Source organism: Homo sapiens, chromosome 20, assembly GCF_000001405.40.
Source record: "Homo sapiens chromosome 20, GRCh38.p14 Primary Assembly".
NCBI classification, from domain to species: domain Eukaryota; kingdom Metazoa; phylum Chordata; class Mammalia; order Primates; family Hominidae; genus Homo; species Homo sapiens.
The window spans coordinates 42,242,748-42,256,396 of NC_000020.11; the positions used below are offsets into that span (position 1 = coordinate 42,242,748).

The 13,649-nt window shown below is 43.5% G+C and overlaps 1 protein-coding gene across 11 annotated transcripts in view; it reads right to left on the minus strand.

The window, feature by feature from the left end:
- The window catches only part of PTPRT (protein tyrosine phosphatase receptor type T), a 1,158,017-nt gene that overhangs the window by 210,858 nt on the left and 933,510 nt on the right, over positions 1-13,649 (minus strand). For all 11 annotated transcript variants that reach the window (XM_047439848.1, NM_001394024.1, NM_007050.6 and 8 more), the window contains one exon: positions 5,940-6,075. In XM_047439848.1, coding sequence (XP_047295804.1) covers positions 5,940-6,075 — 136 coding nt within the window. The remainder of the gene's footprint in view (positions 1-5,939; positions 6,076-13,649) is intronic.

Below are 13,649 nucleotides of genomic sequence, written 5' to 3' on the forward strand. Positions count from 1 at the left end.
GCAGGGAGACAGTATCACTTGACAAAGTTCCCCAGGTGACTTAGACATGTACTTCTTCCCTCACTTCCACCTCATGAACCATGGCTATGGAGAAGAAGCCATTGAAGGGTTTCAGATGACAGGTTTGAGAGTACGAGCTTTATTTTTTAACACAATGCTGACTACAGTATGGAGGATAGGTTAGAGGGGTGGGGCACAGTTAGGAAGGTCAGTGAGGAAACTCATGCAATAGGGCTATAGAGGTCTGACCCAGGGAAAAGACAATGGAGGAAGAGGAGGCAGAGGCAGAGGCAGAAAGGAAGGGAGGGAGGGAGGGAGGGAGGGGGAGAAAGAGAGAGAGACAGAGAGACAGAGACAGAGAGACAGAGAGAGAGAGAATGAGACCAAGAGAATGTAGAGAATCCTGGGTGTTGGAATCCCATCTGTTTGTTGATGGGATAGGAGGTAGTGCCTGTGAATGAGATGGGAAACAGGTTGGGGAGTAGGTAATGATTTTGACTTTGACTACGAAATACCTGAGGGATTTTCAAGGTAGATGTCCAGGGGCAGATGATATGGATAATGGAGCTCTAACAAGAGAAGACTGATCTTCAGGCCAGCAAAACTACAACCACCGGGTAGTGTGATAAATACACAAATGAAGACTAGCATGTATGGCACAGTGGCTGCAGAGGAACATCACTGGATCTTCCTGGGGCAGGAGGCTGGTGGAAAGGCTTTGCTGAGATGGTAACATTTGGGAGTCCTACTAGGAAGAACAAGAGGCTGAGAGTCAGAGTGTGATAGGAACTTTGTAGGTTAAGAGAAATCTCAGGACATTTCATTCAGGGAAACAGCATGCTCAAAAGAAGAAAATAGCGAAATTGGGAAAAACAAGCCCCAGAGAGGAAAGTGGTACCGAATCTGAGTCACATGTTTCTTAGTCCAGGATTTGCTTATTTCCTGTCAGTCTCCATGGACTGACAGAGTAGAAGGTAGCAGCATGAGCTCTAGAGACACTGAGACTGGGTTTCCACATCAACTCTGCCCAAAACGTTCACCAACTCACGTGATCTTTTCGAACTTCAGTTTCTTCTTTTCAAACAAGCAACAGACCTAACCTACTATGATTATTAGGAATATTAAAATCAGAGTATAGCTGCAGTTTAAATGAAAAATGATGCAAATTATGTCAGTGTGTGAGCATTGATTGCAACCCTGCCATTAGCATATTAGTAACGGGTTTGGAGCTGGCCTGGTACAGTTGATGGTCATGTGGAGATGAATGTTTCTGTAGATATTGTGCATTGTAATTCCTTAAGCAGGTTCAGGGAACAAAGCCTATTTCAATAATTAGCTCATTTGATCTTTAGAATAGCCCCATAAAACTGGCTACCTTTCATAGAAGGGAAAGCAAAGGCTAAGATTTGTTAAGTTGCTTCTGCAAGGTTGACAGCAAATAAACAGGACTAAAAATTTGGGGCCAGTTTTTCTGATTCTCTGTCCCATTAGACTGAGAGCTACTGGAGGGCAGGTACAAGTCACAGAGAATTGATGTATAACCAGAGATGCATATAAAATATCAGAATAGACATTCATATTTATACTCAAGACACTCCAAATACACTCTTGGAACAGAAGTTTCCATTTGGACAGACAAGGAAAGTTTGGCAAAAGGTTAAGGCTGGACTAGGACGAGCTGGGCAGGGGAGCAGGGGAGGAGACAGGGTCTGGCTAGAACCATGGATGGTACCAACTTTGAATATACCTCCCTAAAATTTCCTAGTTCTCATTTGAAAATTAAAATGTGATGGACGGGTTAGTGTAGGATCCAGGCAAGTCCAGGGGTGCGGATCTTGTGAAAAGTCCTGCATAACTTGGCTTTGGTGTTTCCCTATGCATAAGTGCATGGCCATGCTTTGAGCTTTAAGGGACCATGTTCAGACTCCAGGAAGTGTGTCCCAAGGGATAAAATCGAGCTATATGAAACTTGTGTGCGCATACATATAATTTCACGCTCCACAAACAAACATTGAATTGTAGACCTTCTCATATGTGAGTGGCTAATGAACACTTTCAACTATTGAGACATGCTGGTTAAGGCAATAATACTTGATCTTTTCATCTTAATTTGCATTAAAGGCACACAGTGCCCCATGGTATTAAGTTAAGAAAACATAGAGTTGGTCATGCAACCTCTTGATTGCTGGTTTTGGAGGAGTGGGGAGGATGTCTAACAGTTCTAAGGGGAGGAGGCAAGGGACGAAGATGATCAGGACTGCAGTGCTGAGTCAGTGATGAAGGTCTTTCTCTTATGTCAGGACTTAACATGGTACTCATGAAAAGGAGGTACATTTTACTACATAATGACATGGGGTACCCATTACAGAACATTCAGAACTCTAGATGTGATCGACAGATCCAGAGGAAAAAGATGGAGCCACTATCTAGTGACAGCAGAAGGATGGATATTGTGTAGTTGGTGTGGCTAAAACCACACTGGTAGTTAACTCTGTCAGTGAGGGGCTCCAGGATCCCTTCTTATAATGCTCATATCATCCTGTTTATGTCCATGCAATCCTAATTCCATATGGTTCCACATTCAATACAGCCCAGTTCAAACAGCCAAAGGTAATGCAAAAAGAATTCTAAACTTTAACTTGCTTCTCTTTCAAACTATAAGAGAATCCCATTTAAATCACCCACCAACATCTCATATCCCTTTCTCCTTTTCGTTTCTCAAGATCTCCCTCCCCCCGTTACAAAACAAAACCAGGCAACAACAACAAAACACCTCTCAAGTTTTGTTGATATTCTCTCTTTTCCCTCCTCTATTTTGTATTCAGGTGTCTAAATATAAATTAATTTAGCTTTTTTCATTAAACCCTTCCCTTCATCCATGGATCTCAAGCCCATTCTCTGTCTGTCTTCTAGTTCTGTGTCATAAAAGGAAACCCCTAACAGGAAGAGAAAGACTCTCTTTGGACAGTGGCAAGGAAGCTCTAAAGTCAGTGATCACAAACCTTCAGAGGGAGAAGCTGGGGACATCTTATGTTTCTGGAAACATCTGTGGTTATAGCTTTAGGGGGGCTTTGAGTCAGCTGAATCTATTAGGAGCAGAAAAAAAACCCCGGAAAGTAACCATGTCCATGACCAGGGAAGGCAGGGAGAAGACCCAGGCAAGCTTAAGCCAGTGGAGGGGTTGTAGCAGTGTTGGCCTCTGTGAACTTCTGAGTCCAAGCACTGTAGGTGATGATAGGACACTGAGGAGATGTTAACACTAGTATCCTGAGCTATGGTGATGAGCCTGCTACTTGGAAGTTTCTTTGACTTGAATACATCTTCCTTTGAGGTAGATGTAGACAGTATTCTGGCCAACAGTAAGTTGGTAGCAGACTCAATTGATCAGTGTAGTATATATTGATATATATATGCAGCTGGGGGGTAGCTGGGGACAGAAGAGGTACACAGAATTTCGCTTTCCTTTGGGGCATCTCTAGACACAGGAAGACATTGTAGGTTAGTGGAAAGAGTGCAGGCCTATGTTCAATTTCTCTCTTCCTCCCCATTTTCTCCTCTTCTCCTCCTACCCTCCCCTCCCATCTGTAAACTGTTCCAATCAACTAGGCCAACAAAATGTCTTATTTTCTTCAAAAGATGCCATATATGTAAACACTGATTAGCACCCCACAACATGCAATGCCCAGGTTTTGCCTCCTGGGGAGAAATGGTGATCATGTGATGCCTGTTGATTGGGTCTGATGGACAGTTTTGATAGACATGAGAGTTGATGAAGATACTCAGAGGAGGTTAAAACTACCACAAAGGACTTATTTTATAGTTGCTCCTACCCTGGAAACATAAAGCCTTTTCCTCCCTCCCAAAAAGTCACACTCACACATTTCAGAAATAGCTGTGAGAAGGAAGTGAAATTTCTTCACAATCTCACAGATGATGGTGACGTGGGTTAAGCCAGGCTTTAGAAAGAGCAAAATTGGAAGAGCATATCTGATTTACAAATCAGTGGCAAAGAATAATAAAATTTCAGGTCTATCAAAGAGGTATTCAGTTCCATTAATTTGGGTGGACAATCCCAAACTCACCTCTGCCTCTAATATATCTGTAACTCTAAGAAACATTTCACCTCTGCCTCTAATACATCTGTAACTCTAAGAAACATTTCAGTGATCTTACATGTACAATGTGCTTACTGCTCCCAGAGAAATCAAAAGTCATATACTACCCTATGTAATAGCAGCAGACTAGTCACTGGGACATATAATGTGGCCATGTGTTATCAGTGATGATGGTGATATGACAATGTAGTGTTGACCTTAACCCTTTGAGGGCTATTCACCCCCAATATTAACATAATACCTTCTGTTACCCCTAGTTTCTCCAACCAGAAAATCAGTAGATGGAGGAGAACCTTAGCTCTTAAGCCATTGTGCTGGGAGCTTGAGGCAAGACATGATCCTATTAGACAGAAAAATGTCAAGAAGAAATGTCCTCACAGTTTAATGCCCTGGCCAGAGGCTAGTATGGTTGATCCAAAGCAGAACCAGGAGAAAGAGAGAGAGGGACATCCTGGGGCTTGCATAGCCAAGAGAGGGTTGACTGCATGTGTAGTGGGGACCCTAGTATTTCTAAATCACTGATTGCTGGAAATGGGGATATTGCTTTTAAAAAATTCTTCATTTTATATTCATGTGGTTCCTAAGGTAGGAGCTGGAATTAGTTGTTAGGGGTATTCTGTTCCTTTGTTCTGGTAGGAAACACATTTGATGAGCATTTTTCATCCTATAGATGGAAGCAAGTTCCCAGCCCTTGTTCTTGGGGTTGCCCTGAACTCTGTGCATAAGCAAACCCAGAGCTTCAGGCTGAGGTGTTGGTTTGGTTAATAATGTAGAAGGCTCTTTTGCCTGGGAGCAGGGCACAATACACCACCTAGTATTATAATGTGGATAAATGTTTTGTTTGCTATGATAGACTGAGGAGTGGGAAGGTAGAGACTAAGGTTGGGGCCCTGGCATTGAAACTGAGAAGACGTGGAGGTGGGAAGTAGATGTGTTAACATGGTGGCAGGCAGGGGCTAAGGAGAGGGGCGAGTAAGACTCTCTGTTTAGAGGAATAACCAGTGCACCCTGTGGACAGGGATAGCTGATATTCACCCTTTGTATTTTCTTCCCTCTGTAATTTCCTTGTGTTATCCTCAAGCCTTGTGAATGCCTCTTAAACAGAGGATGCTGGTGTAGTACATCTTGGAAATAAGGGAGGAATCTGTGTGCATGCTTTCGTGAGAAATGCAACTGGAGAAAACACACAGTATGAGCAAACTAGTAGCTGGCCAAAGGAGTCCAGGGAGACATGCTTTTGAGAGGTGACAAACAACAGCAACCCAGCTGGGAAGGTTCTGTGGGACAGGACATAGTACAGAGCCTGTAATAGGACTTGTAATTGGGAACTCTCACACCACTGTAGACTCTATCTCTCATGGAGAGGGCAGCCTGGGATGCTATTATTTGACCAGTGGAAATCAGGGGCAAACGGAGGTGAGAATGGTAAAACATTACTTTCCTGCAACTGCGTTTCTGGACTGATCCATGTTCCTGGGGCTCCCGAGCTATCTTGATGACATGATTGATAACAACACAGCAGTTAACTCCTATAAGACTCAATTCATGATACGTGGAATCCCATGGCACATCGCGGTGGCCCAGTCATAGGGATCACTGGCCCATAAGAAAATGGCCACCTCAGGACCACCTGCCAAACAGGCAGCATGCACCCTTCAAACAGCAACACAATGAACCACAGCCGGCCCATGTATTTCCGGACCTCAATGGTTATAACAGAAGATCCCTGCTGGACAATGATCAACAGAGCAAAAACCTGGCCACACAGCAGTGTTGAGGTCACCTCGGGTCAGCAGAGTCTTGCAGGCAGCAGCAGAGACTCACCTCCTTTTGATGGTGAGCATCACGCCCAGGAGAATGATGATGAACATGAGGAGGCCAGCGATCACGCCAGCCATCTTCACGGTGTTGTCCACCTGCTTCTCTGGCTCCACAGTGTTAGAATTCTGGGTGGAGGCACCTAGGAAGGGAAAGGGAAGGATAGCAATGTTGAAAGCACCCAAACATGCGACTAGACAATCATCATAATGACAACAGCTTCCTTTAGTTGAGTGCTAACTATGTGCCAGGCACTGTGCTAAGGGCATCACATACATTGTCCCATTTAATAACTTCTGAGGACCAATTCCTTGTGAGGTTGGGATTATCATTAGATTCTTTTGAGATGAAGAAACTGACATGCAGAGAAATTAAGTGAGTTGCCTTAGGTTCTCACTTGGGCAACTGTGTTGAAGCATTCTTTTCCTTAAGGCAAATCAAGTTAAGATTTTTTTTTCTCTCATATTGCTTTGTCTCTAGGATCAAACCATGGAACACTGGGAATTATACCTAACCCTACATTATTCTTTCAGGTAAATGGTGGAAATAACAGCTTTATTTTGGGGCAACACAATTTAAATAACTAGATTTTTAAAGATAAAAAGAGGTTTTTGTTTTGTTCTTTATAGGGAACAAATGGTAGGGCAAAAAGTTTGTATATTCAAGGGAACTTGAGTACACCTTGGGTTCAAAAAAACACTTAAATCTGATCAATTCCATTTTTAGCATTTAATACTAATGCAACATGCTCTACCAGGTGTTAACTTGCTGACACAATCCTCAGTAGAGGAGGCAGGTCACTGGCCACTTACTATACATCCTTAGCCCTATCCTGGGTAACTTCATGGATCTGGCCTGGTCAGTCCTCACAAACATTCCCAAAGGTAGACGAGATACTGATTTTCCCATTTTATAGATGAGAAAACCAAGGGAAGTTGCTAAAAGTCACATGGCTGATAAAGGTCAGGGCCAGAATTCCACAGGTTTCCTGATTCCAATTTTAGACCTCAGTGGTCAGAAACCCTGAATCCCTTCAAGTCATCTAGTTCCTCAATCCCTTCTCCCTAAAACAACCATTCTGCTTATGCCATAACAAAGTAAGCAGGCAAAGAATGCCAAGAACCAGTATCTTCATGCTACGTACTAGGGATCAGAGGCAACATCTTATTTCAGACATTCTAGAGAGTAGTCCAGGGGTTATCAGCACCCGAAGTGAATTTCCTCCTGCTTCTATTTATATTCCTATTGGCGCCAGCCTTTAAGTGGGAAGCAGCTTAAAGTCCAAACCATCCTCTTCCTAACTCATTCCTTCTTTTCTTCCACATCTACATCAGCTCACTCTTCATCAGCCAATACGCTTTCTCTGAGCCTGTGCCCCTGGGAGAGTTTCTCCCTCTTCTCTAAATTCTATTAACACTTTATAACACTTTGCACATGCCTCACAATATCTTTTACTACAATGCACCAATATTATTAGTTATTTGTTTTCACATCTGTCTCCTCCAGTGGTCTGCAAACTCCTCAGGGGCAAGATTACGCCTCGTTTATCTTAGTTTTCCCATGTTAGCACAGATTCTGACTGGTAATAGGGCTCCCTAAATGTTTGTGGTTGTTTAGTGTTTAGCTAAAAGGATGACGTCTCTGCCCACACACATTTGTTCTCATGGAAGCAAATTGAGTTTTCTCCTTTTTAAAGTCATTTATTCATAGAACTCAGCAGAGTCTTGAGTTGAAGGAATGCTACTACCCAAAAGCTATGGTCCTGATTCCCAAAATGCACTGATGTTTAAGCCCTCCAGCACATTGATGCACCCCCTTTTTTTTTGCTTAAGAGCATTAAGTGTTTCCTCTCTCAGAGCACTTTCCCCAAGCTGTTGTAACTTAGACATGTTGGGTTTACTTGGCCAAGTCTCTCTAGTGAGAATGGTAAGTCACCCTATTCATCTCTCTAATGCCAGTGTCTAGCACAGGCCTCCCTCCTCATCATTGCTGCTTAACAGATAAATTATAACATAATATGAGGGTGAGTGAACCACAGTTGTGGACTTTATTTATCCATTCAATCATTCATTATTTTGCCATTGAGTGGCCATGTGCTGTGTGCTAAACTATGCTGTCTGTAGAGTCAGAGATTCTGTTCCTAGAAGGACTTCTGGATGAGGAATTTTATTCATTCCTTTCACAAGCTAATGGCAAAACCAACTCATCAAATTCCAGGGCTGACTGAGTAGACTCTTCTCATCTACAGCCCAGAGAATTCCTGAAAGAGTTGGCCACCATCTCTTCAGCAGGGCTGGTCTGACATTTAGGGATGGGGGGACGAGGGCTGGTTCTGAGGAGCTCCCATGCAGCCCCCATTTCCCAGGCTGGAGACATGATTTCTGAGATGTGGCTAATCCACAATGTAGCAAGCATAAAGGAAGGGGAGAATCTCAGATCCAAATTTCCTCAATATTGATAGAGTCTTTTTATTTAGATTTGGAGGAAGGGTTGTCTCTGGGGCATTCACTCACTGGCACAGCCCAATTTTACTTAGTGTGCCTGCTACCAGGTCCTGTTCTAGAGACTAGGAGTGCAATGGCAAAGAGCCCCTAGAGAGGATCCTATTACTCTAGGAACAATGCTATTAGCTTGGTCTAATGAGACTCATACTTCATTCCTTCAGTAAGTGATCATAAATACCCTCTATGTGCCAGGCATTTGGTGATACAGTGGTGAGCAAAACAGGAACAGTTCCTGCTCTCAAAGAGTCTACAATTAGTGGTGGTTGGGGGTAGGGGAATATAATTAATAAATCAAGAATCAGTAATAGCAAACTTGAACCCTGTTAAGGTTTGAACAGAGAAGCACATGGCACTTGTAAATAGATACTTGCATAATTAAAAAAAATGCATTGCTTCTTGGAGCAATTCACCCCTAATAGGGGTGAGTTCCAAAGGAAGACAGGCTGTAACCAGGCAAAGGGACCATGAAAGCAGCATATGGGAGCAGCAGGAGAAATAGCCTTGCCTAATGGGGCAAGCACCCTGTTGTACTTAAAAAACAAAAAAAAGAAAAGAAATGTAGTATAACCAGGGCAAGAAAGCAAGGAGGGAAAGATGAAAAAGAAGCTGAAGAGGGCATCATGAATGAGTCCACACAGGATATTACTGGCCACAATGAGGGCTGTTGTTCTTTAACCAAAGGAAGACAGGGCACCATTTAAGTGTTATTCAAGGAGCAATGATATGGTCAGATTTGTATTTCCAATAGATCATTCCAGCTTTAGTGTGGAACCAAAGTGGATTGGTGAAATGAGTTTTGAGACTACTGCGGGCATTCAGATGGGAGTTGATAGTTGCTTAGGCTCAGGTGATGACAGTGAAGATAGGCAGATGTGATAAAAGAGACAATTACTTGAAATAGTTATAGATAAAATCTGTTGATGGATTGGATATGGGGAATAAAGGAGAAAGAACTGTCAAGGATGACCACAAATCTTTGCACGATAGGGTGGATGGTGGTAATGTTTACGGGTTCCAGACACAATGGAAAAAGAATAGCTTTAGGGGGAAAATATATCTAGGGCAACTGGAGCTTGAGATATACTCCAGCAAAGTATGTAGTCAAAAATGCGATCTGGAGCTCTAAATTAAAGGTCAGAGTTGGAGGCAAAAATGTGTGAGTCATATGTACACAGATGGTATTTGAAGCGTGGGGGCCTGTTGGTGAAATCACCCTGGGAAAGAATAAAGAGTGGAAGGAGAAACAGACCTAGAATAGAGACTTGAGGGTCTGCAGTATTTAGTGAGTAGAGGGAGATAAGCCTGAATGGGGAACAGGAGTGACCAGACAGGTAGGAAGTAAACCTGGGAGAGTGTAGTATCCTAGAGCCAAGAGAAGAGAATGTTTCAAAAAGGAGGGCATGATCAACTATGCCAAAGGCTGTTCCCAGGGTAGAATCAAGTCCACACACAAAGGAAAGTGAAGATCTTGGATGAGTATTAGAAAAATTTTCCCAAAAGAATTCCAAGACATTCCTAAATAGAAGCAGCTTCAGCAACGACCATAAACCTACAAAAGAACATACTTGAGGGCCACAGAAGAACATTCAGGGGATTCGGAGAGGCTGTCTGAAAGTCCAGAGCCTAGAGGTTTAGACGAATTCAATGAGTTCAGCCAACAGGCAGCAGAGCTGAAATCACAGACTTTACACAGGAGGTTTTTAGAAAAATCCATGCTTGGTTGGTCTAACTAGACATCAGATACAGGAACGTGAACATTCCCTGGGACAGGGAAAATCCAGCTTTGCCTTTGGCACTCTTTAGGGGAACTTGCCCTAGACTCTGGATATTTGTGCCTCTGTTCATAGTGGAAGTGTGTTGACAGGGTTCAAAGGTGATACAGGGATAGAGGAAATGGACTAAAGGCAAGACAGCATCCACGTGTGACTCCCATATCTGAGGGATGGACAGAGGATGGGAGGGTCCCGCTTTTGTGGCAGAGTCAGGTGTGGCCACAGGGATTACATCTTAAATGCTCAGTGGAGCAGAATGTGACCTGTGATGGGAGTCATAAAAAAGCACATCAGGGTTGGCTACTGATGGGGCCATTGGCAATGTGGTGCGCTTTCCACAGATGCCAGCAGTAGGTCCATATAGAAGGCTATCTGTCTGACTCAGTGGCCCCAAAATCGAAAGGGACTTTTCAGAGGGCTATCCCACTGGAAGCCCTTCAGTGGGATAACACCTGCGTTACTTTTACCCCAAGCATATCCTTTCCATGAGAGTCAGGCTTAGTATCAGCCTTAGTCCCTAAAAGGCTGTCTCCGACTCTGGGTGACTTTGTTTTATTAAGCAGGGCCTGGGGATTTGGGAACTGGGAGAAGGAGGAGGGATTTGGGTGCATCTTCCTCATCTTTACCCTCCAGAGGACCCAATCTGAGAATAGGCCAAGCAAATCAGAATTGGCATCTAGGCAGGCACCAGATGATAAATTTCTCCAATTGGGGAAGCTTTGAGGCTCTACTTGAGTCTCCTGTGTGATGTGATAACCAAAAATAATCTTGTGAACTCAGCTTGTACTGACAGGAGACTCCCTCTCCAACATCATGCTGCAAGCCTCACAAGCCTGACCTGACGGCACAGCCAACTGTGTCCTCTGAGCTCTGAGCACTCCCAAAGGCTGAACCAGTTCTCAAAGCAGCTGCTGCTGCATCCTGCTGTCTATTCTTTCCCCAAATGCCATGATGGCTAAGGATCCAGTCTCCTCCTAGCTCCAGCCCAGAGTCTTAATCTGGCTTTTATATGTGCTACCTGTCTACTCTTACATATGGAAACCTGGTGCACAAGGCATGGCCCTTGGTTTATTAAGCTCTACTTCCCTCCCTCAATATTAGCTCCATACATAGGGTCTAGTTGCCATGTTTTCTCTCTCTGCTGCCTCCTCCCATGCTACCCAGCAACCCTCCCAGCTGATTTTCCCCAAGGATTACTGAGACCTAACAAGGGCAGTGCTGCCCTGCTCTACTCTGCACTGGTCAGAATGCTCTGGTGAGTCCTGTCCAGCTGTGAACCCAACCTCTCAACAGGGACCTCCAGAGTGAAGACAGGCCATGAGCCTTGCTACTCAAAAAGTGGTCCATCGACCAGAATATTGGCGAAACTTGGGAGTCTATAAAAAATGCAGTATCTTGAGCCCTACCCCAGACCTACTAACTCAGCAGCTGCATTGTAACAAGGTCTCTACATGATTGAGGTACACATTGATTGAGATGCACAATGTTCCAGAGATTATTGACTTTGAAGGTACATCACTCTGAATCAGGATTTTTCATCTTAGGGAAGGGAAGATTCAGATGAGACCTATTTTTTGCCTTTAGATAGATAAAGGGCCATTGTGGAAGGTGGAGTAGATTTGGTCCCTTTAATTTCAAAGCTCAGAGCTGTATCACTGGGTAGAAGTGACAGGGGGTAGATTAGGAATCAACACAGGAAACGTTTGAATGTGGAAGAGCTAATCAGCTAAGGCTAAAGCCCAGACCCTTTCAATGCGGCATCATGTTAGAGAGAGGATGAGGTCATTATGGTTCCAAAGTCCTGCATCAGAGTCAGCCCTTCATTTTACCTGCTTACTCTGTCTCTGTTCTCATCTCCTTGGCTTCCTGGATGCACAACTAAGCCCTGAGGACCTCATGTCTACAGGATGCTGACCTTTTTCTCTGACGTCATCTTTTACCTCAACTTGGTTCCCCTTAATTCCAGTAATACTCATACTCTTGGTGAGAGAAATTATCCCTATTATCTTTAGAGCCATGAGACTCCCATGCAGTCCATTCCCACCCCCTCACCCTGACCCTCCCCATGTTACCCACAAAGGCAGGGGAATGTGTCATCAACAAGGACAAGAGCTGGCTGGAACATCCTGTGCTCCCCACAAAGCAGAAGGGACGACAAGACTTCTTATGCCCCTTTTGATGTCGAGATGCTATGGTTTTATGAGTCTAGTCAAAAGCATTGGGTTTCACATTGGAAATATGCAAGCTTGCGTCTAGATGCCATCACTAATGGGTTGTGTGACCTTGATCAAACCTGTTAACCGCAATGTGATTTGATATTCTCATTTATGAAATAATTAGAAAATGCCAAGTTCACACTGGGATTTTCTAAGAATCAAATGTAATAATGGAGGGAAAAATGCTTGATAAACTCTTGAGGAACTGTTCACATATGGGGCACAGTGATGATGTGACCTTAGCACTGGATCCAGGGTAGCACTAGGGTTTTTTGTGTCTATGAACTGTAGGTCATAGAGGCTGAGGCAATGCCTCCTTGTAACCTGCTACCTAAGTTCATCCGATCCTCAGGATAAAGGCAGAGCCCCTAGAGTGATTCACTTAACTTTCCTCATATAGGCAAGGCCCATATCAGGCTTGCATCTGGATGACTTAATGGCAGCAATAACATAATTTGGCAACAAGGGACTGGCAATTAATGATTAATGATTCATTCTGAAGTGCTCTCACTGGTGACAGGCCCAATTCTAGAGCTTTACTTCAGAGAATTTTCCTTGTAAAGATATGGAGCAAAAATAGGAGTCACAGATAAAGAACATTTAATTGCAATTGATAAAACCAAGTAAATCCCAATGGATGCATAACCCATGCTGGTGATCATTGCTGACGATAAAGAAAGCAACCCGGCTCTCAGGGACACTATTCCTAAAAACTGCACTCTTTAAAACATACAGTTGTTTCTCAGCTATCCAAGGGCATATTATCCCCAGTGTGGCTTATCAGAGGCAAATCTTACTTTGCTGGCAGTTTACCCCAGTCTACTGAATGGCTTCTTTTGTTGAAGAGTTTCTCTGGCTTTGTATGTATCTGGCACCCAGTAGGGAAAACCTTTGAAACCCTGACTCTAAGCTGGTACTTCTACGTCAGGGAAGGTTTTAAGCATTACAGGCATCTCTGATTATGGGGGTTTTGCCAAGAGGAGATAATAGGGAAAAGATGAAGATGCTGGGCAACTTTCTGGCTCTTCTCAAGTCAGGTAAGCACCATAAACCTTCTTGATTTTGCTGGAAACAAATTCTCAGAATAGCAGATTATTTTTAAGATGGAATTAAAGTCCAAGACAGAAAAGAAGTTGGCAGGAGAGCATCTGGATACTTCATTAGATTCAAGCCTCTAGACTTTACAAATTGCATCCCAAGGCATTGAGAATATTTGTAATTGTG